Source organism: Homo sapiens, chromosome 7, assembly GCF_000001405.40.
Source record: "Homo sapiens chromosome 7, GRCh38.p14 Primary Assembly".
Lineage (NCBI taxonomy): Eukaryota > Metazoa > Chordata > Mammalia > Primates > Hominidae > Homo > Homo sapiens.
In genome coordinates this window covers 916,355-942,221 of record NC_000007.14, presented here as the reverse complement: position 1 = coordinate 942,221, position 25,867 = coordinate 916,355, and the positions used below count along the sequence as shown (strand labels likewise).

Genomic DNA, 25,867 nt, shown 5'->3' with positions numbered 1-25,867 from the left:
AAGTTACGGAGACTTTTCTCCTGTTTTCTTTTAAAATTGTATGGCTTTAGGTTTTACCTTTAGCACCATGATGCATTTGGGGATAATTTTTGGATATGGTGAGAGGGATGGTTGTTTACTGTGTTGTGGATGATACCGGATTGTTCCAGCACCGTTGGTAGGAAAGATTGTTCGCTCTCTCCAGAACTGGCTTTATATCTTTGCCGATAATTAGTTGTCCACATATGTGTGGGTTTATTTCTAGATTCCCGATTCTGTTCCATTGATCCGTTTATCCGTTTTTGTGCCAACACCACCACACTGTCTTGATAACTGTAATTTTTTAATGAGTTCTGAAAACAAGTAGTGTTAGTTCCCCGTCCTTGTCTTTTTTTTCTAAGTTGTTTTAGCTATTCTAGGTCCTTTGCATTTACATATGAATTTTAGAATCAGCTTGTTCATTTCTATTTTTAAAATCCTGTTGAAATTCTGATTGGGATGGCATTGAATCTATAATTTGGAGAGAATATATGTGTTATTAATGTTGAGTCTCCCATCCCACGAAAACGTTATCTCTTTCCAAAATCTGTAGGTCTTCTTTAATTTCTCTGAGCAATATTTTGTAGTTTTCAGTGTCCTATGTTTCATTTCTCATCACATTTATCCCTCTTTCATACATTTTATGCTATTATAAATGGTATTTTTAAATGTTCAATTTCTGAATGCTTGTTGCTAGTGTATAGAAATACAATAGATTTTTGTATATTTATCTTGTATCCTTCAACCTTGCTAAACTTGTTAGTTCTCATAGTTGTTTTTAATAGAATCTTTTCTATTTTCTACATAGACAATCATGTTGTCTGTTAATGAAGATAGTTTTAGCTCTTCCTTTCCAATCTAGATGCTTTTTATTTCTTTATATTGCCTTATTGCACTGACTAGAATCTCTAGCTCAACGTTGACTAGGAGTGGTTAGAACAGACATTCTTGTCCTGTTCTTGATCTTGGGGGAAAGCAGTCAGTCATTCTCCCTTGAATATGACATTTGCTGTACATGTTTCATAGATCCTCTATATCAAATTGGGGAAATTACCCTCTATTCTTAGTTTTCTGAGAGTTTTATCAGGATGTTGCATTTTGCCAACATTTTTTGCATCTGTTGAATCATCTATGTCAAATTGGGGAAATTCCCCTCTATTCTTAGTTTTCTGAGAGTTTTATCAGGATGTTGCGTTTTGCCAACATTTTTTGCATCTGTTGAATCCTCTATATCAAATTGGGGAAATTCCCCTCTATTCTTAGTTTTCTGAGAATTTTATCAGGATGTTGCATTTTGCCAGCATTTTTTGCATCTATTGAAACAATTGTATGTTTTTTCTTTTTTAACCTGTAAATATGGTGAATGACATTGATTGATGGTCAAATGTTAAACCAACCTTGCATTACTGGTAAAAACCCCTGTTGATCATGGTGTATTACTCTTTTTATATATTGTTGGATGTACATCTTTTTATGGACCTACATTTTGATTTCCCTTGGGTAAATTCCTAGGAGTAGGGTGGCTGTGTCATATGGGAGATATATCTTTATGTAAGAAACTGCCAAGCTGTTTTCAGAGTGGGTTGGACTAATTTGTATTTCTACCAGCAGTGGATGAGAGTTCCACTTGCTCTGTATCCTCATCAACACTTGGTAGTATCCATCTTTTAAATTTTAGTCATCCTAGTAAAACTCCACAAAAGCTTTTTAAAAATGATACAAACTTCCTGCCCTACCAGTGACAACCTTGTGTTGCTCCTGTCTCCAACACACTTGATTTAACTGGCTCTCGTCTTTTGATTCTTATGTAAAAGGTCATGTCTCCATATTGTGTGTGTGTGTGTGTGTGTGTGTGTGTGTGTGTGTGTGTGTGACAGGGTCTGTGACACCCAGGCTGGAGTGTAGTCGTGCCATCTCGGCTCACTGCAACCTCCACCCCTGGGCTCAAGTGATCCTCCTACCTCAATCTCCCAAAATGCTGGGATGACAGGTGTGAGCACCCACACCTGGCTGGTGTCTCTATTTCTTCACATTTAACTCCCTGAGCCCTCCCCAGTAGGCTGTTCATGTTGTGTCTGTGGGTATGCACGCACGTATGTATATGCTCACACACAAATACCAAGGAGGATGTGACAGGTTTGCATCAGACAACCTCTAACTTTACACCGGGGGACCTTGTGCCAGTTGCAAGAGGTCGGGACAGGTTGTAACCACTCCTTAGCCTCACTTGTAGCTGGTTTGTCAAAGATAGGCTATATTAGTAATGGCTGTAAGCTATCAGTCCTACTTACAAGCCCTTCTTGGGCTCACTCATCTGTGCCACCCCCATTTTTCCCTCTAAGCAGACATTGGCAAACTTTTTTTTTTTTTTTTGAGACAAAGTCTCACTCTGTTGCCCAGGCTGGAGTGCAGTGGCACGATCTCGGCTCACTGCAATCTCCATCTCCCGGGTTCCAGTGATTCTCTTGCCTCAGCCTCCCAAGTAGCTGGGATTACAGGCACCCGCCACCACGCCCGGCTAATTTTTGTATTTTTAGTAGAGACGGGGTTTCACTATGTTGGCCAGACTGTTCTCACACTCCTGACCTCAGGTGATCCACCCGCCTTGGCCTCCCGAAGTGCTGGGATTACAGGTGTGAGCCACCACACGCAGCCAGCAAACTTTTTCTTAAAAAGACAGATAGTAGGCTGGGCGTGGTGGCTCACGCCTGTAATCCCAGCACTTTGTGAGGCCGAGGCAGGCGGATCACCTAAGTCGGGAGTTTGAGACCAGCCTGGCCAACATGGTGAAACCACATCTCTACTAAAAATAGAAAATTAGCCGGGCATGGTGGTGCACGCCTGTAATCCCAGCTACTCGGGAGGCTGAAGCAGGAGAATCACTTGAACCTGGGAGGCAGAAGTTGCAGTGAGCTGAGATCACACCATTGCACTCCAGCCTGGACAACAAGAGCGAAACTCTGTCTCAAAAAACAACAAAAATGACAGTAAATATTTTAGGGCCGTAGAGTCTCCATCACAGCTAGTCAACGACCGCTCACAAAAGCAGCTATAGACAGTTCATAAATGGGCATGGCTGAGTTCCAGTAACACCTTATTTACAACAACAGGCAGCTGGTCCACGCCGTAGAGTCCAGCTCCTGCTACGGGTTCCATGAACAGGCCTCCTTCCAGGCCCAGCTCCCTGGGTTCTGTGAACAGGCCTCCTTCCAGGCCAGGAGAGGGACAGCCTGTCCCGGAGCACCCGAGTGAGGTTGGAGGTGGGCACAGGCATTCTGGACCCTGGGCTGGGCGGGAGCTGTTGGTGGCCGTTGCTCAGCCTCCCTCAGAATTTCTAGATGGGCAGATAAAGGCCATGAGACAGGAAGCCTGGGTCCGTGGTCCACACTGTCGGAGCAGAACCAACAGCATTGCCATGCGGTGAGAAGGAGGGCCCCCCACTGCACCCCGAGCGGTGATGTTCCCAGCTGGGCTCATGTTGCCTGCTACCCCTGTAAGTGGCTCGTGCTGTCCCATCCGACAGATGAGGAGACCGAGGCCCGGAGACTGGCGTGCCTTCTGGGCGCCCCTCGCACAGCCACGTACCGAGCATTTGCGGCATCTTTCACCAAGGCTTCGGGAGAAGACGGAGCCCGGGGGGAGTCAGGTCTCTCTCTTCTGGGACTTCAGTGTGGTTCTTCCCCACCTGTTCTCCAGGGGTGTGTGTAACTAAATACTTTGCAGGCCAGACACGGCGTCACACATCTGTAATCCCAACACTTTAGGAGGCCAAGACAGGAGGATCGCTTGAGCCCAGGAGTTCAAGCCCAAGCTGGGCAACATAGAGAGACTTCATCTCTACCAAAAATTTTAAAAATTAGCTGGGTATGCTGGTGCATGCCTGCGGTCCCAGCTACTTGGAAGGCTGAGGCAGGAGGATCGCTTGAGCCCAGGCGTTGGAGGCTGCAGTGAGCTGTGAGCTGTGATTGCACCACTGCACTCCACCTTGGGCAACAGGGCAAGACCCTGTCTCAAAACAAAACAATACAATACAAGACAAAAAAAACCCCGCAAAACCAAACAACGGCTGATCCTGTAACCGCATTCTTTCTCCCAAAAGCCGCCCTACTCAGCACAGGCAAAACTCCTGGTACCCGAGACAGGGTCACTTGGGCAAATGTTTGACTGACTGAGGGGTGAGGAGAAAGCCTGTGGTCTCTCTCGAAGACAGGGGCTCTGCTGAAGTAGGGCTGTTAGTGGCCCCTTCATTCATGACTCCCGTGGAGACCTGCTCCGGACTGAGCTCTGTGCCAGATCCGGGGGTGCTGGGTCTGGGGTCCTCAAGAAGCCCACGTTAATGGGGAGACAGGCTTCATTAATCAGGGAGCCTAACAGCTGTGACAGAAAACCCCCAAATCCCAGAGGCCGGGCATGACCCCCAAATCCCAGATGTGCAGCGTGACCCCCAAATCCCAGAGGCCGGGCATGACCCCCAAATCCCAGAGGTCGGGCATGACCCCCAAATCCCAGAGGCCGGGCATGACCCCCAAATCCCAGAGGCCGGGCATGACCCCCAAATCCCAGAGGTCGGGCGTGACCCCCAAATCCCAGAGGCCGGGCGTGACCCCCAAATCCCAGAGGTCGGGCGTGACCCCCAAATCCCAGAGGCCGGGCGTGACCCCCAAATCCCAGAGGTCGGGCATGACCTCCAAATCCCAGAGGCCGGGCATGACCTCCAAATCCCAGAGGCCGGGCATGACCCCCAAATCCCAAAGGTCGGGCGTGACCCCCAAATCCCAGAGGCCGGGCGTGACCCCCAAATCCCAGAGGTCGGGCGTGACCCCCAAATCCCAGAGGCCCGGCGTGACCCCCAAATCCCAGATGTGCAGCGTGACCCCCAAATCCCAGAGGCCAGGCATGACCCCCAAATCCCAGAGGCCAGGCATGACCCCCAAATCCCAGAGGTCGGGCGTGACCCCCAAATCCCAGAGGCCGGGCGTGACCCCCAAATCCCAGAGGTCGGGCGTGACCCCCAAATCCCAGAGGTCGGGCGTGACCCCCAAATCCCAGAGGCCGGGCGTGACCCCCAAATCCCAGAGGTCGGGCGTGACCCCCAAATCCGAGGCCCGGCGTGACCCCCAAATCCCAGAGGCCGGGCATGACCCCCAAATCCGAGGTTCAGCCTGCTGGTTCTCACGCACCATCCCCGGCCGGGGGCTCACTTGGGTGCCTCTCCTCCTGGCAGTGACTCAGAGCCCAGGCCCAGCCCCAGCCCCACTGGGCCTCCGCCGCCTGGCATGGGAGTCCCCCACCAGCCAGGGGTGGGCCCCGATCAGCGTTGGGAGGGGGGCTATCCTCCGCCAGGCCTGAAGGGTGGGGTCCTCTCCACTCATGATTCCCCAAACAGGCTTGGGTCCACAGCCGCACCTGCTTGTGGGGAAGCGCCTCGATTTCCACCAGCCTCACCCAGGAGAGCCTCCACTTAAAAATAAAAGCAGTTCAGAGATGACTCATCTCCCCCAGAGAGACTGTTCTCTCTAGGGTGCCTTTCAGCCATTCCACTCCCTTGACTTATTGTGAAGGGTCGTTGGGAGCCAGAAGAAAACAGGAGAGTCACACAGCAGCCCTCTTAGCCATCGCCCCAGGGCGGGGCTGGACGCTCCCCACATTTTGCCGTTTCAGAATGAGACATTTCACACGTGCAGCAGCAGAAAGACTGCGCTGTGGCACCCACACCCTGGGCAGTGGCTCACGCCTGTCATCCCAGCACTTTGGGAGGCCGAGCAGGTGGATTACTTGAGGTCAAGAGTTCGAGGCCAGCCTGGCCAACATGATGAAACCCCATCTCCACTAAAAATACAAAAGTTAGCCGGGCATGGTGGTGCGTGCCTCGCTACTCGGGAGGCTAAGGCAGGAGAATCGCTTGAACCCGGGAGGCAGAGGTTGCAGCGAGCCGAGATCGTGCCATCATACTCCAGCCTGGGCAACAGACTATGTCTCAAAAAAAATTCTGCTCCCTCAGCCTCCCAAAGCGCTGGGATTACGGGCCTGAGCCACTGTGTCCAGCTTTGTTGGACCTTTTAAGGCAAACCAGACATCGAGACGTGGAATCCCTAGACAGGCCACATGCAGGGTGAAGCCACAGCGCCGCTGTCACACCTGCAAAGTTAGTGGCCGCCGGGCGCTGTCACCCCACGCAGGGTGCGTCGTCATCCGCGGCTACCATCCGTCCTTCGGGGGTGTGCAGCGCGTTGGGTGTGAGGCACCCCCTGCACTCAGATCCTATCTGAATTTCCCAATCTTGGCCCCATCACCCAGGAGGATTCGGGCCCACAGACTTCTCCCAGGGCAGCGGACACGAGGAAAGCAGGTGGACCCATCCTCACGAGTGCCGGGTGCCCTCCAGCCCGGGGCATGGGCTCCTGTGGGGCCGGCCTCTGCTGGAGGTTCCCGGCACCCGCGGGGCAGAGCAGGTGCATGCAGATCGGCTTCCTCAGATGCCGTGGGGTGTCTGGGGAGAGCCCCGTCTGCACCGGGCAGAGGGCGGGGGGGGAGCTGGGGTTAGGTGCCTGTGGGGCGCACGGAGCCTGGTGTACCCGGGGGTCTCCGCTGAAGCCCCCCCCACTGCATGGCCGGGGGCTCCTGACTCGAGGCTCCGTCCACCCTCCCTCCGGGGTCCCTGGGCTGAGCCTCCGTGAACGTCCGGCTTTCCCTTGCAGATCCCGACTGGGCCTCCTACACTCTGGGCGTCTTCATCTGCCTGAGCTGCTCGGGAATCCACCGGAATATCCCCCAGGTCAGCAAGGTGAAGTCCGTCCGCCTGGACGCCTGGGAGGAGGCCCAAGTGGAGGTACGGAGGGGGAGGGGCGGGGGGACCCGCGCAGTCCCCGGGTGGCCTCAGCCCGGGCCTCTGGAGCCAGAGATGCCGGGCGGCCTGGCTGTGGCCCCTGGAGCCTTGGGCTACTCTGGGGGCCTGGCTGGCTGGACCCGAGGACCCCGCCCCCTCTCCAGCGGCTCCGCCTGTGTGGCTGCTCCACCCACCCCGTGCCGGGTCCAACCTCTCTGTGAGCAGCTCCAGGTGTGTGTGGTGGGCCAGGGAGCGAAGGCGGGTCGCCGATTCCCGTGCCCTGGGAGCTCCGGAGTGCTCCCCTCAAATCCCCACACCTGGAGCACTGGGCTCAGGGTAAAAGAGACCCTGTCTCTAAGGAAACAGAATGCAGCGTCCCAGGCCGCGCGGCACGACCCAGAGTCAGGGTCGCATTTACACGGCAGTCCACGTGCACCCCGGCCCGCTGCCGTGTAGGGCACCATTACCTGTCCCCTGGGCGGCCTCTGAGGTGACACAGCCACTGCCCACCTCTCACCCATGCATCTGATGAGGCTTCACGGAGCACTTGGCATGGCCAGGCAGGGACACCAGCCACAGATGCTTCGTGGGGCCCTAGAGACGCCCCTATGGGGAGGGAGACGGGTGTGAGCCAACCAGGAAGCCCTGGCGTGCAGGGAGGGGCCACGCATGCTGGAGGCGGCAGGAAGGGCCCCGTAGGGAGACCCCGAGGGAGGTGGAGAAGGAACAAGACCCCGGCTGGGGGCTGCAGGTCGGATGGAGCGTGGGGCCTGAAGACCCGGTGGGAGGGTCACCCCAGCCCCACTCGTGGGACTTGGGGTCTGGAAGCCATTGATCTTCCTGACTGCTGTGAGTGGGACCGAAGGGCCGCATGGAGGTGAGAGTGGTGGTCTGGGGGCTGCTGTGGGGATGGGGAGGGTCGTAGAGGCTGGTGGCCTCCTGTACATGTCTCTCCCCTCTCCAGCACCATTGACCCTGGGCCCCCCCTCTCCAACACCACTGACTCTGGCACCCCCTCTCCAGGACCACTGATCCCAGCCCCTGGTTCTCCAGCACCACTGACCCCGGCTCCCGGCTCTCCAGCACCACTGACCCCAGTCCCCGGCTCTCCAGCACCACTGACCCCGGTCCCCGGCTCTGCACCACCACTGACCCCGGCCCCCGGCTCTCCAGCACCACTGACCCCGGCCCCCGGCTCTCCAGCACCACTGACCCCGGTCCCCGGCTCTGCACCACCACTGACCCCGGCCCCCGGCTCTCCAGCACCACTGACCCCGGCTCCCGGCTCTCCAGCACCACTGACCCCAGTCCCCGGCTCTCCAGCACCACTGACCCCGGTCCCCGGCTCTGCACCACCACTGACCCCGGCCCCCGGCTCTCCAGCACCACTGACCCCGGCCCCCGGCTCTCCAGCACCACTGACCCCGGTCCCCGGCTCTGCACCACCACTGACCCCGGCCCCCGGCTCTCCAGCACCACTGACCCCGGTCCCCGGCTCTCCAGCACCACTGACCCCGGTCCCCGGCTCTGCACCACCACTGACCCCGGTCCCCGGCTCTGCACCACCACTGACCCCGGCCCCCGGCTCTCCAGCACCACTGACCCCGGTCCCCGGCTCTCCAGCACCACTGACCCCGGTCCCCGGCTCTGCACCACCACTGACCCCGGCCCCCGGCTCTCCAGCACCACTGACCCCGGCCCCCGGCTCTCCAGCACCACTGACCCCGGCCCCCGGCTCTCCAGCACCACTGACCCCGGTCCCCGGCTCTCCAGCACCACTGACCCCGGTCCCCGGCTCTGCACCACCACTGACCCCGGCCCCCGGCTCTCCAGCACCACTGACCCCGGCCCCCGGCCCCCGGCTCTCCAGCACCACTGACCCCGGCCCCCGGCTCTCCAGCACCACTGACCCCTGCCCCTGGTTGGGAGTAGCTCATTTGCTTCTAACAGGCAGCCTTGGTGCATGGGTCACACCTGGAGGCTTGTTAGAAATCACAGCTGGGATCCCAGTGCCTCGACCAGGTGTGGGGGTGGTGCCTGTAATCCCAGCCACTCAGGAGGCTGAGGCAGGAGGATTGTTTGAGCCCAGGAATTCTTTTTTTTTTTTGAGACGGAGTCTGGCTTCGTCGCCCAGGCTGGAGTGCAGTAGCATGATCTCGGCTCACTGCAAGCTCCACCTCCCGGGCTCAAGCAATTCTCCTGCCTCAGCCTCCCGAGTGGCTGGGATTGCAGGTGCACGCCACCACGCCCGGCTAATTTTCGTATTTTTAGTAGAGAAGGGTTTCACCATGTTGGCAAGGCTGGTCTTGAACTCCTGACCGCAGGTGATCCACCCACCTCAGCCTCCCGAAGTGCTGGGATGACAGGCGTGAGCCACCATGCCTGGCTGAGCCAAGGAATTCGAGGCTGCAGTGAGTTGTGATTGCACCTTTGTGCTCCAGCCTGGGAGACAGAAAAAGACCCAAGGACAGCAGAGTCCCTGACCCACCCAGGGCGACCCCAAATCAGCTTCTGCACTTAATGCCGTGATCCCCCACACCCTGAGTTGAGGGCGTCCCTGCGAATCCCCTCAGGACCCCGGCCCACCTTGGGCTCACCGCCTTCGACCCACCTTCACTGACCTGGGTGGGGGACACTGGGATGTGATATCCGTCCCTTCGCCCTTCGACCCACCTTCACTGACCCAGGGGGGGACACTGGGATGTGACATCCATCCCTTCGCCAGGCTGTGGGCTTGTCTGAGCCTCCGTTTCCTTCCCTAAAAAATGGGCAGGGTGGCCCCTGGACCATCCCCCTCCCCGGACAACAGGGGACCAATGTCAGAAAGATGATGGGACGGGTGTCCCGTCTCCAAGTTGCTCTGCCATCACTCCTGGAGGAAACAGCCCTGAGTCCCTGGAGGGCCTCCAGGGGCACAGACTCCTTGGCTCGGGGAGAAGACGTGGCTATTGTCCCCATAATTCCAGGGCAAACGGGGCAAGGGCCCAGGGGTGGGGCGTTCACTGTTGTTGGAAAAACCCTAAATGTAATCAGCGGGAGAGGACAGGGGCCAACTTGGTGCTGTCCTGATCTGCCTGGGGTGATGGCCGGAGAGGAAGGCTGGAGAGGAAGGCTGGGGAGGGCCCACCGTGGGTATTACCAAGAAACCCCTGATTCCTGCCGCAGAGGTCTGGTGCGATGGGGCCTTTGGGAGAGCACTGAGCTGGGGGCCACAAGGAGATTCCATCCCCATTCTGTTGTCTGCACGTTCACTGGTGCGATAAAAACCAAAGATGAATCTCAGGCAGGCCTGGGGGCTTGTCTCCTGAGAGCACCTGCACCCCGGCCCCCAGGCAGGGCTGGGTCTCAGCCCGGCTTCTTGCTGGGGACTCTGTGGGGCGGGAGCTGCACTGGGCCCCCCCTGGCTCCCTGCACTCAGGCCCCTTGGCCATTCCTGGGCTGGTGGTCAGCGGGGACATCCGGGGGCTAAGCCTGCTCCCACCCCTAAGGGAGAAACGGGCCTGAGGTGGCCGTTGCTGAGGACCGGACCGAGGTTGAAGGGCCAGGAACCAAAGATTCTTCTCTTCTTTCCTTTTCTTCACATTTTATGTTTTTTTTTTTTTTTCTCCCTACTTTCTATTCCTTGATAATACCTTTTAAAACAACTGCTTCCTAGAGATGCCGTTCACAGCCATACATTTCACCGTGTAAAGGGCACAGTTGAAGGTTTTTTAGTAAATTCAGAGTTGTGCAACCTTCGCTGAAGCCAATATTAGGACATTTTCATCACCCCAGAAAGGAAGTCCGTGCCTTTTGGCTCTTACCCCCGCCCAGCCCAAAGCAGCTGCAAATCCACTTTCTCTCTGTGTAGATTTGTGGGTTCTGGACTTTTAAAAACGGGATCGCACGGCGTGTGAGCTTCGGCGTCCGACTCCTTTCCCGCGGTGCCAGGTCCCCGAGGCCCATCACGCTGCAGCCTGTGTGACAGCTTCGTTCCTTTCAAGGCCGGAGAACATGCCTTGTGTGGATGGAACACGTTTGCTTTATTCATTCACCCTCTGATGGACACGTGGGTCGTCTCTACCTTATTTAATGTATTTCGACAATTTAGTGACACATTCAGCAGTTTCCAAGGACAGTCACAGAAGGGAGCTGTCTCCTTCCCTGTCTCCCACCTTTGAGCACCGTCCCCACCCTGGCCAGGCAGCCAGGGGTCTGTGTGGGCCTCGCTCCCTCCCTCCCTCCTTCCTTCCCTCCTGTCTTCCTTTCTTCCGTCCCTCCCTCTGTCTCTCCGTCCCTCCGTCCTTCCTTCCGTCCTTCCTTCCCTCCTGCCTTCCTTTCTTCCCTCCCTCCCTCCCTCAGTCCCTCCGTCCCTCCCTACCCTCCTTCCTTCCTTCCTTTCTCTTTTTTTTTTTTTTTGAGACACAGTCTGACTCTGTCGCCCAGGCTGGAATGCAGTGGCACTATCATAGCTCACTAAAGCCTTGAACTTTCAGGCTCAAGTGATCCTCTTGCCTCAGCCTCCCAAGGAGTAGCTAGGACCACAGGCATACACCACCGTGCCTGGCTACTTTTTTTTTTTTAGAGACAGTCTCACTGTCTCCCAGGCTGGAGTACAGTGGTGTGATCTCACCTCACTGCAACCTCCACCTCCCACATTCAAGCGATTCTCCTGCTTCAGCCTCCCGAGTAGCTGGGATCACAGGTGTGTGCCACCATGCCCAGCTAATTTTTGTATTTTTAATAGAGACGGGGTTTTGCCATGTTGGCCAGGCTGGCCTTGAACTCTTGGCCTCAGGTGATCCATCCCCCTCGGCCTCCCAAAGTTCTGGGATTACAGACGTGAGCCACCGCGCCAGCCCTGGCTAATTAAAAAAAAAAATTTTGTAGTGATGGGGTCTTGCTATGTTGGCCAGGCTGGTCTCAAACTCCTGACCTCGTGATCCGCCCGCCTTGGCCTCCCAAAGTGCTGGGATTACAGGTGTGAGCCACCGCGCCCGGCCCTGTGTTTTCTTGCCTGTGAACTCTCTTCACACCTTTGCCTGCCTTTCTGCTGCAATGTTAGCTGTTTTCATCTTCTAGGGGTTGCTGGTATGTTAGAGAAATTAATCTGAGATACCAAAAACATTTTTTTCTAGGTTGTCTTTCGAATTTGCTCATGGTGGTTTTTGCCGTGGAAATTTTTACTTCGACATAGTCAAAGTGGTCAGCGTTTTATTTTGTGGTTTTAGGGTCTATAGCATACATAAATAGGCCTTCTCTGCCTGAGGGTTTTTTTTTTTTTTTTTTTTTTTTTTGAGACAGTCTTGCTCTGTCACCCAGGCTGGAGGGCAGTGGCTCAATCACAGCTCAGTGCAGCCTCAAGCTCCTGGGCTCAAACGATCCTCTCACCTCAGCCTCCTGAGTAGATGGAACTACAGACGTGCACCACCACGCCTGGCTAATTTTTGTATTTTTTGTAGAGACGGGGGTCTCACTATGTTGCCCAGGCTGGTCTTGAACTCCTGGCCTCAAGTGATCCTCCCGCCTCAGTCTCCCAAGCGCTGGGATTACAGGCTTCAGCCACCACACCCAACCCTGAAGGTTATTTTTTAATAACAGCTTTGTTGAGGTATAATCCACATACAATTCACTCCCGTAAAGCGTACAGTTCAGTAGTTTTAGTGAAGCCACAGGGCTGCACGACCATCACCACTGTCTAACTTCAGGACATTTTAACGTCCCAACACAGCCGGTACTCACCACCCCTCCCATCACCACCGCCCCAGCCGTTACTGAATGTAGACAGAGCTGCTTTGTGTCTCTGTGGATTTGCTTGTTCTGAACATTTCAAACAGATGGAATCATGCAATACGTGGTCTTGTTTTTTTTTTTTTTTTTTTTTGAGACAGGGTGTCACTATGTTGCTCAAGCTGGTCCCGAACTCCCAGGCTCAAGCGATCCTCCCACCTCAGCCTCCCAAAGTGCTGGGATCACAGGTGTGAGCCACCACGTGCGGCCGATTCGTGGTGTTTTGTGTCTGGTTTCCTCCATGGGCACCGTGTGTCCAAGGATCGCCTGGGTTGTAGCGTGTGTCAGAATTGTGTTGCTCTTTTTTTTTTTTTTTTGAGATGGAGTCTCGCTCTGTCAGCCACGCTGGAGTGCTGTGGCACGATCTCTGCTCACTGCAACCTCTGCCTCCCGGGTTCAAGCGATTCTCCTGCCTCAGCCTCCCGAGTAGCTGGGATTACGGGCGTGCACCACCACGCCCGGCTAATTTTTGTATTTTCAGTAGAGACGGGGTCTCACCGTGTTGCCCAGGCTGGTCTTGAACTCCTGACCTCGTGATCTGCCCACCTCTGCCTCCTGAAGTGCTGGGATGACAGGCGTGAGCCCCCGCGCCCGGCCGGCATTCCTCTTTATGGCCGAGGAACCCTCCATGGTGTGGCTCGATCACATTTAGTTTATCTGTGGTTCCGTTCACGGAGCTGGGGCTTGTTCCCGTTCTCAGCTGTCACGAAGAATGTGCTGTGAACACTCATGTGCATGTCTCTGCGTCTTCGCGTCTCTTACGGTGCAGAGGAATCGCTGGACTCTATGGTAACTCTGTGTTTACCGTTTTGAGGAACTGCCAGACTGTTAGTCACCAGAGCCGGAGGTTCCCACCAGCAGCGTGCGGGGGCTCTGATCACTCCACATTCTCTCCAGCTCACTCCCCTGTGCCACTTTGACCTTGCCATCCTAGTGGGGAGAGGTGGTAGCTCATTGAGGTTTTCATCTGCGTTCCCCTGACAGCTAACAGTGTTGAGTGCCTTTGCGTGGCCGAGTGGCCATTTGTGCATCTTCTTTGGAGAAATGTCCGATCAAATCCTTCCCCATTTTTAGGCCGAGGTGGGACGATGGCTTGAGCCCAGGAGTTTGAGACCAGCCCGGGCAACAGAGTGGAACCCCACCTCCATTAAAACAAATTAAAAGTATACATATGCATGTAAAAGTAATTTTAAAAACCCTTACCCATTTTTATTTATTTTTTATTTTTACCTTCCTTTTTTTGCAGAGATAGGGTCTTGCTCTTTTTCCCAAGCTGGAGTGCAGTGGTGTAACCATAGCTCATAGCCTTGACCTCTTGGGCTCAAGGGATCCTCCCGCCTCGGCCTCCCAAAGTGCTGGGATTACAGGTGTGAGCCGCTGTGTCCAGTGGAGACATGGTCTTGTTCTGCCGCCCAGGCTGGAGTTCAGTGGTGCGACCATAGCCCACTGCGACCTCAAACTCCCAGGTTGAGGCCATCTTCCCACCTCGGCCTCCCTAGTAGCTGGGACTACAGGTGTGCGCCATCACACCTGGCTAATTTTTTTTTTTTTTTTTTTGAGAGACAGGGTCTCACTATGTTGCCCAGGCTGGTCTTGAACTCCTGGGCTCAAGGGGTCCTCCCACCTCAGCTTCCCAAAGTGCTGGGACTACAGATGTGAGCCCCTGTCCCCGGCTGGCCCTTGTTAATTTTTTCAACTTTAGAACCATTTCTAGGTAAAAAAATATAATAAATTCTGTTGCTGTTTTTTGGCAATTATTATAAAAAACATGTAGACTCCCATAAGGAGACATTTTTCTACCTCCCTGTGTCTCGGGTCGAGGCTCTCGTCCTCGGGAGCACACGCCAGTTTTCCCTTGGAGACCTGGGACATTTCTCATCCAGCCACTCAGGTGATTTGTCCTGTTGCTGTTGGTGACAGGATCTCTCCTTGTATTTGAGTTTTCTATGGAAAAGCCATTGGTTTTCGAATTTTAAATTGGTGCCAGCCTCTTGTTGCTTGTGATTTCTCCAGCTGCTCTTCTGGGCCCTCCCTGTTTACTGCCATGTGATCCTCGGAGCAGGGTGATGTCAGGGGACTTCAGTCTGGCTGGGCCTGGCTGCGGCCTCAGGCGAGTGGTGTTCAGGAGCTTGAAGGTGCAAACAGCAGCTGCCTTGGGGGCTTACAGCATAGCAAGCAGAACCTCTCCCATGCCCTCGGGGCTGGCGTGGGGTGTGGCGGCCCCTCCTGCTGCTCAAGGCTCACCATACCTGGCTGGCGGCAGGGTCATTGCCAGCGTCCACCCTCAGGGCCTTTGCGCCTGCCAGGAGCACAGTGTGCGTGACAGCCTCCTGGAGCACGAGCCTCCTGGAACGACAGCCTCCTGCAGCACCTCCCCTCCTTCACGGCGCCGTTTCCTTCTCCCTCAGCCTGTTTCGTAAACATGTTCTGGGTCCCTGCAGTGTGTCCCTGCAGAGTCCCCTCAGAGACTCTGTCCTAGCCACATCTGGGTCTCTCGCTCACCAGCCCATCTCCAGGCCCCCGTGTCTGGCGCCTGTTGGCTCTTTGCTAAATGTGAGCTGGGGAGCTGGGTGAACGAGGAAGCCCTCGCTCTCTGGGGCAGAGATGGGGGTCACAGGATGCAGCCAGCTCTCTCCCACGGGACACCCGGTGTGGGTGGACTTGGGGGTTGAAACGGTGGGGCAAACCTCAGACCCATCCTCAAAAGGGGCCTGGCCCCTGGGCCCCCTTTGCCGGGACCCCGTCGTTAGGGACGCTGGCTCCTTCCCTGTCCCAGGGGAGGGTCGATCACTCAGAAATGGTGTCCCTGGGGCAGGAGGAGGTGGCGTTCCCGTCCTGGTGCTGGTGGAGCCCTCAGAGCCTTGGGTCTGCGGGTCACTGTGGTGACGGCCCCAAGGGCAGCTGGCACCTCCTAGGCTGCCCCTGGGACCCCAGGCCTCTGACCCGGCCCCTCCTCTCTTGCAGTTCATGGCCTCCCACGGGAACGACGCCGCGAGAGCCAGGTTTGAGTCCAAAGTACCCTCCTTCTACTACCGGCCCACGCCCTCCGACTGCCAGTGAGTACAAAGGGGCCTTGTCAGGGCCATGGTCAAGTGCTGGGTGGCTCCGAGATGGCCCCGGGAGGACCCGGCAGGGTGGGGAGTTGGGTGCCGCCCACAGGGTCGGGGAGAAGCCAGCCGCAGCTGCGTCCCCCAGACCCCGAGGTGCCGCCTGTGTCTGCTGGCCACCACCGGGCTTTGGTTCTGGGGCGGGGGGCGCTGGGGTGGGGCTGGGAAGGTCATTGTGCATCAGTAGCTACAGCCCACCCAGGTTCGCTGAGGCCTTGGGGGTCTCGGGTGGATCTGAGGGGCCCTCCCAGGTGCTCCTGGCGGTCTGGGAGGGGAACGGGAGGGGCGGCTGTTGTTTCGGGGCCTGCCCTGGCTCCTCAGGGCGGGAGCGGACGTGGGTACCGGTGGCCGGTTGGGGAAGCCTGAGACCCAGTCCTCTGAGCATCCTGGGATCGGGAGGTTGTGGAGAGAGGGAATGAGGCCTGCTCGGTATCACATCAGCCGCCTTCACCAACACCCGCCCCTCCAAGCCTCAGTCTCCCCATCTGCCCGGACGGTGGGAATGAGAGGTGACAACCACACAGGGCCCAGCCTGACTGTTCGCACCGACCCCCTCGTACCTGTCACAGGGGAAAGACGTGTTGGCCCACTGGGTGCCCTCCCGGCCCCCCATGCTTCCTGCCCTGGTTCAATCCCAGCCTCACTGGGCACCGCCCTCCGTTGACTCACTCCGTGAACCCACTCAGCAGAGGGCCCACCCCGCAGAGATACCCCGAGCACGAGCTGGGTGCAGGGTTTGGGTGTGAGCCAACAGTGCCGCAGGAAAGCGGCGGGCGCCTGGCCTCCCAGCCCATGAGGGGCCCACGTGCCGTTGCTGGCTCTGCCCTGACTCGGGGGCTGAGACAGCCTGGGCTCTGCCTGCCCAGGAGCTGCTGGTGGGGACTGCAGTGACCAGGGGGTCTTCCCCAGCATCCGGGGCCCTGTTTGGGGTCTGTGCCCCCTGCAGTGAGCTCCATGAAGGGGCAGTGGGATCAGGGGTCCTCACTGGATCCGAAGGCCCCTGGAAGGCGGGTGGGGGTTGGGGGATAGGGTGGAGGGGAGGCCGGAGGGAAGAGGGAGGAGGGAGAGGGGAGGAAGGACGGACTTCCCGGCTGCAACCCTACACACCATCCTGGGCCTTTTTTTTTTTTTTTTTTTTTTAAATATAGAGACGGGGTCTCCCTACATTGCCCAGGCTGGTTGCAAATTCCTGGGCTCAAGCGATCCTCCTGCCTCAGCCTCCCAAAGTGCTGGGATTGCAGCATGAACCGGCCCTCCCGGGGTCTTCGGGGAGCAGGGGCTGGAGGTGTGTTCAGGCCACGAGCGACTCAGTTTCTTTGGCTGCATGTTGATTTGTTATTGGGGTCACGAGGCCCCCGTCCAGGTGCTTGGCAGGCGTTTTCTTGATGAGCCTCCCGTGAGCCTGGAGACAGGTCCAGCTGCAATCCCCACATCGCCACTGAGAAGGCCGAGGCTGGCGACTCAGCCCCGTGCATGCACCTCTCCCTTCCCACCCGGGCAGGCCTGGCGCCCTGGCCCCCCGTACTCTCATTCTGAGGCCCCAGGTGCCAGCTGCTGTCTCCCCCTGAGCCCTCACAGGGGAACCCTGCCCTGGCCGTGCCCCGGGCTCTCGGTATGAATCATGGAGCCCCAGCACAGCTATTTTTAAGACATTATTTTATCACCCCGCCCCCAGCTGCTCTGTGGCCTGGGTCACTGTCTCCAAGTTCCTCCCACTCCCTGGCTGTTCTGAGTCGGGACCGGGGGCTGACATGGGTGCGGGGGGCTGGGGGTGCTCGTGGACTCAGGGGCTGCTGCTGTTGGGTCCTGGGTGAGGAGACTCCCAGGGCTGACACCCACTATCTGGGGTGGGGTGTGAATCCCTGTATGAGCCGTGGATGCTGGGGCATGGCAGGGGTGCAGTGTGGACCTGCAGTATAACTTGGAGGGCGGGGGGTGCAGCGTGGACCTGGAGGGCAGGGGGTGCAGTGTGGACCTGCTGTGTAATCTGGAGGGCGGGGGGTGCAGCGTGGACCTGCTGTGTAACCTGGAGGGTGGGGGGTGCAGCGTGGACCTGCAGTGTAACCCGGAGGGCGGGGGGTGCAGCGTGGACCTGCAGTGTAACCCGGAGGGCGGGGGGTGCAGCGTGGACCTGCAGTGTAACCCGGAGGGTGGGGGGTGCAGCGTGGACCTCGAGGGTGGGGGAGGGGTGCAGCGTGGACCCGCTGTGTAACCTGGAGGGCAGGGGGTGCAGTGTGGACCTGGAGGGCGGGGAGGGGGTGCAGCATGGACCTGCTGTGTAACCTGGAGGGCGGGGGGTGCAGCGTGAACTGCTGTGTAACCTGGAGGGCGGGGGGTGCAGCGTGGACCTGCAGTGTAACCCGGAGGGCGGGGGGTGCAGCGTGGACCTGCAGTGTAACCCGGAGGGCGGGGGGTGCAGCGTGGACCTGCAGTGTAACCCGGAGGGCGGGGGGTGCAGCGTGGACCTGCAGTGTAACCTGGAGGGCGGGGGGTGCCTACATCCTGCCATTTTGTGGTCCGGCTCTGTGGCTCGTGGGGCCCAAACGTCCAGCCTGGCGAGGTGGGCAGGGGACTCGTCCACCTTCCTCCCACGTCTGCCCCCACCAAGATTCTCCCAGCCCCAGCAGCGCTGGTGCCCACGGCCTCCGTGCAGCCTGGACAAGCCCGGGTCTGAGTTGAAGGTCTTCAGGGGAAAGCTCTGCTGCACAGATGTCCGGGTGGCGTCTTCGCAGGAGCTAAGAGTGGCGGGCAGCGTCCGGAGCAGGGTCCTGGAAGGCCCCCCACGCCATGCCCTGCGGCCTCCCGGCACACACTGGGGTCCCTCCAGGCAGGTCGAGCACCGTGCCCACCTCCAGCTAAGCAGAGGCCCAGGGCCTCAGTTTGCCCAGCTATAAGAGGGGAGGCTGCACCCGCAGGGGAGGGCAGAGGGTCTCGTGTGCCCTCTTTATCTTCAGCACCAGCCTGTGACTCAGAGGCCGGGACCCGTCTCTTCCTGTGTCACCCTCAGAGCTCTCCAGTTTCTATCTTGACGTCGGGGAAAGAAAGTCGTGCGGCCGCTCTGCTTGGTTTTACTTCTGGGTGGAAACCGGCCCCTCCCTGCTTCCTGTGTGGTGAGGGGTGATCAGGGCGAGTGAGGGAAGCTGTGGGAGGAGCCCTTGGCTGCTGGCAGCACCGGCTGGAGGGCTCCTCTCTGCCCATCCCAGCGAAGCCCTGGAGCCCTCAGCCCCAGCAAGCCCCCCGTGGAGCAGGTGTCCGGGCTGGACAGGGCTCTGCATGCATGTCTGGGGCTCCTGGAACACAGCACCACATGCCCGGCGGCCCAGAGCAACAGAAATCTACTTTCTTCCAGCTCTGGAGGCTGGAGGCTCAAGGCTGCTTCTCCCGAGGCCTCTCCGGGGTGCTTCCTCACATCGTGGGCCCTGCGTACCTGTCTGTGTCCTAATTCCCCTTCCTAAGGACACCGGGCACGTTGGATTGGGGGCCACCCTGCTCCTGTGGCCTCATCTTAACTAATCTGCAACCACGGTATTTCCAAATACAGGCACACTCAGGCCCGGGGGTCAGGGCTCCCAGTAGGATGGGGTCGCGGTTCAGGTGGTAGCAGCCTCGGAAACACCCAGGATAGACAATGGGGGCGGGGGTGGCGGGGGTGGGGGTGTTGCTGAGAGGCAGGTGCGTGGGCGGGGGTGTGGGCGGGGGCGTGAACACCACCCGGGCTATTTTCCTGTAATAAAAAGGGAAAAAACCCATCTGGGTGAGCCACTGGTCCACCACGTAGAAGCAAAGCCGGGGGCCCTGGGGGGTCACTTTCGCAAGAGGCAAAGCCTCCAGGAAGGGTGTTGATGGTGTCCTGAACTCCATGCGGTGGAAACTGGCAGAACTCGGGCAGAAGGCACACTCAGGAGTGGACCCTCAGGGATGGACGTGCCAGCTGTGTGAACAGCACCCGCTATGGGGGTCACAGTGGCCACTGGACCCGTCCTGGGGAAAGCGGGGAGGGGTCTCCCATGGCATCTTGGGCTGGGGGAGCCCTGTGGGGAAGTGGCTTCTGGGGCTCAGAGCGTCTTCCCCTGTGAGTCCACACCTAGGGGAGGCAGTCGCCCTGAGCACCTGCCCGGCCCCCTGCCCCCAGCTCACATTTTGCTCTGCGTTGAGGGGACCCACCTGACCCTGAGGCCCTGGCCTTGAAGGGGTGGCCTAGGGGTCCTTGAAGCCTGGCTCCCCTGAGCCCTGGAACTTGGGGCACTTCCTGGGGCGTGGGCTGAGGTGTGGCTGGAGCTTTCCTGGTGGCTCTCCGTCCCGGCTGCCAGGTGGCCCGAAGCCCACCTCCTCGTGACCACGTGGGGTGTCAGTGCGGCCCCTCCAGGGCTGTGGGAGTCGGGAGGGCTCCGGGCAGTACTGGTTTTCAGGAGATGAGGGGCTTCCGGAGGGCTCCGCTGGGCAGGATGGGGTCCAGCCCCCGACTTCCTGGTGCTCACTCCCAGGCTTCCTCCTGCTGCTGCTGCTTCTGGAAGCTTCTGTGCCAGGCCCTGGGATGCCCTTGTGTGCGGGTGTGAGCCTTGGGGGCCCATTCTGCACCAGGGCAGGGCTGCCGACCCTGTGGGTGCCCCGCCCTGAGGGCCGTTGGCAGGCGTGGTTGTCAAAGCCGTCCCTGGCACCTGCCTCTCATCCACAGGCCCCCGGCTTCCACACATGCGGCCTTCGGTCCTCCCGTGACTCTGAGAGGCCGCTGTGTGACCCTGGGGTCATGGGACGCTGGGTGCTAGGGGGCAACTCCTCCGTGGTCACACAGCCGGAGCGGCTCAGGCAGCTGCACGGTGTCCCCCGAAAAGACGTGTTAAAGTCCTAACCCGCCGCCCCTGTGAAGGTGAACTCATCTGGAAATAGGGGCCGGACGCGAGGCTCACACCTGTAATCGCAGCCCTGTAGGAGGCCCAGGTGGGAGGATTGGCCTCAGGAGTTCCAGACCAGCCTGGGCAACAGAGTGAGCTCCCACCTCTACAAAAAATAAAAAATTACCAAGTCGTGGTGGTGCACACCTCTAGCCCAGCTACTCGGGAAGCCGAGGCAGGAGGATCCTTGAGTGCAGGTGTTGGAGGCTGCGTTGAGCTGTGATCGCACCACTGTGCCCCAGCCTGGGAGACACAGTGAGACCCTGTCTCTAAAAGAAAGAAAAGTAGGATCTTTGCAGATGTCTTCAGGTTAAGATAAGGTTGTGAGGTTGTCCTGGAGTAGGGTGGGCCCAAACCCCACAGGGAAGGCCAGGTGAGGACGGCGCCGAGGTGGGGGCACTGGCGGCTTCCAGGGGTGGGAGGGACCCTGGAGGAGATTCTCCCCAGAACACCTGGAGGGACCAGCTCGGCCGACGCCTTGATCTCAGACGTTTGGCCTCCGTGACCGAGATGATACATTTCTGTTGCTTTCGGGGACCGAATTTTGGGGTGATCGTTGTAGCAGGTGGGGGACACACACACACCTGGGGCCAGGGGCCAGAGACCCAGCTGGGACCCATCACCCATCAGATCCTGTGGGCGAGGATTCCCGCCCAGTCTCCAAGGCTGTTCACGTGGGCCCAGCAGGAAGCCACAGGGTTCCTATTTGTTCTTTGCCGCGTAATTCCCTGGGAGTGGAAAAGGCTGGGGCGGCTGCCTGTGCACCTGGGCCGTGCCGGGCCTGTGTGTGGGTCGTGGTTTCTGCAATGGTATTGGCTTCACTCGAGTGAGTCACGGTGGATGGGGAGGCCGTGGTGGGTGGCTCTGGGCAGGGATGTCTGGGCTCAGTGGGTGCCGTGGGGGGCCCTCGTCCCGGGCTTTACTCTCGGGGGCTTCTCCTCATCCCGGGTCTTCCTGGATTCTTGGGTATTTGCCGGTAGTTTCTCCTGATGCCCCGGACGCCTCCTGACCTCGACGGGTGCCCTGATAGCTCCGTCCTGTGTCTCAGAACCACGTGGAGGGCGGCACGGCGGGTGGAGGGCGGCACGGGGGGTGCAAGGTGGCAGCACGGTGGGTGGAGGGCGGCGCCGCGGCCACTTCCCAGATCCGGTCCAACGAGGTGGGGAGGGTCGGGGAGGGCCCAGGGGCGTGTGACTCGGGGTGGGGGGGCCTGGCTCAACCCCTGTACCCCAGCCCTGTGGGGCATCAGCTGAGGCCAAGGTGGGAAGGAGAGGGGAGGCACCAGCCCGTCCACCGGGAACGCTTGTGCAGAACGTGAGGCCTGATGCTCCGGGGGCCGAACGCACAAGAAACCAATAAACTAATATCAGAGTGAGAAGCGTCCCGGGCAGGAGGCTGACCCTGCATTTCTTCCGGGATCTTGTGCCCAGAGGGGCGGCTCGAGTCTGCCGGGGGTCCCTATGAGCCTCTTGAGATGTCCAGGGTCCGGGCCAGAGAGCGGCGTGTGCTGGGTCGGAGGCCGCCTTGGCCCAGTGGCTCAGTCTCTCCTCTCCCCACAGGCTCCTTCGAGAGCAGTGGATCCGGGCCAAGTACGAGCGACAGGAGTTCATCTACCCGGAGAAGCAGGAGCCCTACTCGGCAGGTGAGGCCACCCGGGTGGGGTGGGGCCTCCCGGCTACCTCTCCCTGGCTCTCTCCCTCCCTCCCCCATCTCTTTCCCTCCCTCCCCCATCTCTTTCCCTCCCTCCCCCATCTCTTTCCCTCCCTCCCCCCATCTCCCTCCCTCCCCCATCTCCCTCCCTCCCCCCATCTCCCTCCCTCCCCCATCTCCCTCCCTCTCCCCCCTTCCCCCCCATCTCCCTCCCTCTCCCCGTCTCTCCCACCCACCCCCACCTGTCTCTTTCTCCCCTGTCTTTATCTCTCTCTCTCTCCCTCCTTCTGTCTCTCTTTATCTCTCTGTGTCTCTGTTTCTCTTACTCTCTCTTCATGTCTGTCTCTCATTCTCTGTCTCTCTTCCTCTCTCTTCACGTCTATCTCATCCTCTCTCTATCTCTGTCTCTCCCTCTCTCTCTCCTTCCCTCCCTCCCTCTCGTGTGGACAGAGTCATTATTAACCTGGGTAACACACTCGTGAGTTTGAACCCGCGTCCCCGGACCTGTTTTGCCCTCTGAGTGACGTGACTGAGGGCTTGGGGTCGCCACAGCTGTCTACAGTCCAGCCCTGAAGGAGTGGGGTGCATGGGGACCTCGTGGGGCCGTGGCTGGCCCCTCCTCTGCTGGTGGTGGCCACGCACTTCCATTCGGGGGTGGCCTGCAGGGACCCCTGTCTCCAGCAGTGTGGGCAGGACCTGAAGGCCCGGGTGAGGGGCGTGAGGGCGTCCTCTGTGTGGCAACACTGTGCTGCAGGTGGGGAGGGTGCGGCCCCGGCCTGCGGCCTCCACCTCCCCTAGGCCTGCCTGGGTGCCCTTGGGGGCCCTCGGGTGGCAGAAACATCCAGGCAGCGTCTTGGAGCTTCGTGGGCTGGCGGGGCTGTGGAGGTGGGCGCTGGGAGGCAGTGCCATGGGGGCCTGGGAGGCCAGCCCACCCCAGCCTCGGTCTCCCCACCCCAGCCTCGGTCTCCCCAGTGCTGCTTAGCTGGCCAAGCCTCTGGCTGTGCCCCCCAGCAGTCCCCAACTCTGCCCCCCAGCAGTCCCCAACTCCTGCTTCTCCTGGCATCTCATTTAAACCCTGGGGCTTTGAGTTGGAGCCCCCAGCCGGGTGGGCTGGCTTCCTCCTCCTGTCTGCTCTGTAGGAGGTGGGCTCGGGTACTGTGGGCCTTGAGTGGTTTTTTCCCCAGGGCAGCTGGGCGTCTGCACACTGGAGCTTCCTGAGTGCCCCTTTCTCCACCGTGTCGACAGGGAAACGGAGGCAAGCCTAGCCCTAGGGCCTGGTTCTGAACGTCAGCACGGGCAGGGCGGGGTCCAAAGGCTGGATGGGGATGTTTGGTGCTGCTGGGCATGGCCACGTGAGGAAGGAAGCAGCCCCCAGGGCCCGGACCTGCAACCCCAGCACTGCCCCCACTGCCCTTGTGTAAGAGAGAGGCTGCCCTGGAATGGCGGAACACGAGGTCGGGAGCCGTGTCTCAGGCCTGTAATCCTAGCACTTTGGGAGGCCAAGGCAGGAGGATCACTGGTGGTCAAACAAGCCTGGGCAACATCTAAGATGCCCTCCCTTTAAAAAAAAGAAAAAATTAGCTGGATATGGTGGCACCACCTGTAGTCCCAGCTGCTCGGGAGGCTGAGGCAGGAGCAGCCCTTACGTGCAGGAGTTTGAGGCTACGGTGAGCTGTGTTTGCACCACTGCACTCCAGGCCGGGTGACAGAGCAAGACTCTGTCTTAGAAACAAAAAAGGGTCGGGCACGGTGGCTCACGCCGGTGGTTCCAGCAGTTTGGGAGGCAGGTGGATCCGTTGCAGTCAGCAGTTTGAGGCCAGCCTGGCCAACATGGTGAAACCCCGTCTCTACTAAAAATACAAAAATTAGCTGTGCACGGTTGGCGCACACCTGTAATCCCAGCACTTTATATGGAGGTCAAGGCGGGCAGATCTCCTGATCTCAGGAGTTCAAGACCAGCCTGAGCAACGTGGCGAAACCCCATGTTGCTCATTTTTTGGACTCTACCAAAAAATGCAAAATTAGCTGGGCGTGGTTGGCGCACATCTGTGGTTCCAGCTACTTGGGAGACTGAGGCGGGAGGATCTCTTGAGCCTGGGAGGCGGAGGCTGCAGTGAGCCAAGGTTGCACCACTACACTCCAGCCTGGACGTCAGAGCGAGAGTGTGTCTGTAACAAGAAAAAAGATGAATCGTATTTGTGAATCTCACCCCAAGAATAAAAGAAGCACCTTGGGAGGCCTAGGCGGGCGGATGGATCACTTGAGACCACGAGTTCGAGACCAATCTGGTCAACGTGGCAAAACTGTTTCTAGTAAAAAATACAAAAATTAGCCAGGTGTGGTGGCAGGTGCCTGTAATCCCAGCTCCTCGGCAGGCTGATGCAGGAGAATCGCTTGAACCTGGAAGGCGGAGGTTGCAATGAGCCGAGATTGCGCCTCTGCACTCCAGCCTGGGCGGCAGAGCAAAAGTCTGTCTCAAAATATGTGAAAGAGAGGCGGCCCTGAAATGGCTGAACACAGTCCTGGTGTTGTAGGTGGGTTCAGTGGAGAAGCCCCTGACCCCCAGTGCTCCAACCCCTCCCAGCCCTCCCTGGTAGAGCTGGCACTGCGCCCCCCTCCCGTGCACCTCCCCGGTAGAGCTGGCACTGCGCCCCCCCTCCCGTGCACCTCCCCGGTAGAGCTGGCACTGCGCCCCCCTCCCGTGCAACTCCCCGGTAGAGCTGGCACTGCGCCCCCCTCCCGTGCACCTCCCCGGTAGAGCTGGCACTGCGCCCCCCCTCCCGTGCACCTCCCCGGTAGAGCTGGCACTGCGCCCCCCTCCCGTGCAACTCCCCGGTAGAGCTGGCACTGCGCCCCCCTCCCGTGCACCTCCCCGGTAGAGCTGGCACTGCGCCCCCCTCCCGTGCACCTCCCCGGTAGAGCTGGCACTGCGCCCCCCTCCCGTGCACCTCCCCGGTAGAGCTGGCACTGCGCACCCCTCCTGTGCACCTCCCCGGTAGAGCTGGCACTGCGCCCCCCTCCCGTGCACCTCCCTGGGCTCTGTCAGGACCGTGGATTTTCTCCCAGGAGCGGCGTGGGGTGAGCAGGGGTGACCGGTGGGAGGCTGCCCCAGGCCTGAGCAAGGCACCTCCCCAGGTCAGGCTGGGGTCTCATGCAGCGGTCCTGTCGGCTCTGCCCTCCTCCAGGGCAGCTCCTGCCCCCCCAACCCCCACTTGGCACACAGCCAGCCTGTGCAGGCGCTGATTCAATTACTGTCTACCCAGACAGCAATTTCTTCCTCTCAAGAATCCCTGTGTGTGTGAGGGAGAGAGCAAGAAACGGTCAGGGGATGAACACGCGGGCACCTGGACCTGCTCAGCACCCAGCACACCCCTCGCTCCACTCCTGCCTTAAACCCCCAAAGAATCACCCCAGAGCCCCTCCGTTTCCCTCGGCAGAAACATCTTAGCAATTTGTAGCAAGGTGGCACGTGGCCTCACTTCAGAGGCAGGCATGGGCTGGGCTGGCGTGACCACAGGACTGAGTTTTGTGTCTGTTCTTGTATCAGAACCCTCTGGTTGTAAAGGATGGAAAATCCAACTTCACTGGGTGTCAGCAAAACTGGA

General features: G+C 58.8%; 1 protein-coding gene across 5 annotated transcripts in view, besides 7 other annotated features; it reads left to right on the top strand.

The window, feature by feature from the left end:
* The window catches only part of ADAP1 (ArfGAP with dual PH domains 1), a 57,508-nt gene that overhangs the window by 13,186 nt on the left and 18,455 nt on the right, over positions 1-25,867 (top strand). For 3 of the 5 annotated variants that reach the window (NM_001284308.2, NM_006869.4, NM_001284309.2), the window contains exons 2-4: positions 6,717-6,847; positions 15,578-15,669; positions 22,172-22,254. In NM_001284308.2, the coding sequence (NP_001271237.2) occupies positions 6,717-6,847; positions 15,578-15,669; positions 22,172-22,254 (306 nt within the window). Of the gene's footprint in view, positions 1-6,716; positions 6,848-14,725; positions 15,167-15,577; positions 15,670-21,344; positions 21,439-22,171; positions 22,255-25,867 lie in introns of those variants that run through there. The other 2 variants (NM_001284310.2, NM_001284311.2) reach the window with 2 other exon arrangements.
* Positions 5,218-5,267: a silencer, noted in NCBI's record as "silent region_17828". NCBI's record gives its function as "represses an Ori minimal core promoter by ATAC-STARR-seq in GM12878 lymphoblastoid cells {active_cell/tissue: GM12878}" and the evidence as "EXISTENCE:reporter gene assay evidence [ECO:0000049][PMID:35858748]".
* Positions 13,256-13,345: an enhancer, noted in NCBI's record as "active region_25481". NCBI's record gives its function as "activates an Ori minimal core promoter by ATAC-STARR-seq in GM12878 lymphoblastoid cells {active_cell/tissue: GM12878}" and the evidence as "EXISTENCE:reporter gene assay evidence [ECO:0000049][PMID:35858748]".
* Positions 13,601-14,187: an enhancer, noted in NCBI's record as "H3K4me1 hESC enhancer chr7:967671-968257 (GRCh37/hg19 assembly coordinates)". NCBI's record gives its function as "activates a minimal SCP1, AML or CMV promoter by ChIP-STARR-seq in primed H9 embryonic stem cells {active_cell/tissue: H9 hESC(primed)}" and the evidence as "EXISTENCE:reporter gene assay evidence [ECO:0000049][PMID:30033119]".
* Positions 16,372-16,521: a silencer, noted in NCBI's record as "silent region_17827". NCBI's record gives its function as "represses an Ori minimal core promoter by ATAC-STARR-seq in GM12878 lymphoblastoid cells {active_cell/tissue: GM12878}" and the evidence as "EXISTENCE:reporter gene assay evidence [ECO:0000049][PMID:35858748]".
* Positions 17,364-17,473: an enhancer, noted in NCBI's record as "active region_25480". NCBI's record gives its function as "activates an Ori minimal core promoter by ATAC-STARR-seq in GM12878 lymphoblastoid cells {active_cell/tissue: GM12878}" and the evidence as "EXISTENCE:reporter gene assay evidence [ECO:0000049][PMID:35858748]".
* Positions 18,623-18,672: an enhancer, noted in NCBI's record as "active region_25479". NCBI's record gives its function as "activates an Ori minimal core promoter by ATAC-STARR-seq in GM12878 lymphoblastoid cells {active_cell/tissue: GM12878}" and the evidence as "EXISTENCE:reporter gene assay evidence [ECO:0000049][PMID:35858748]".
* Positions 19,263-19,322: an enhancer, noted in NCBI's record as "active region_25478". NCBI's record gives its function as "activates an Ori minimal core promoter by ATAC-STARR-seq in GM12878 lymphoblastoid cells {active_cell/tissue: GM12878}" and the evidence as "EXISTENCE:reporter gene assay evidence [ECO:0000049][PMID:35858748]".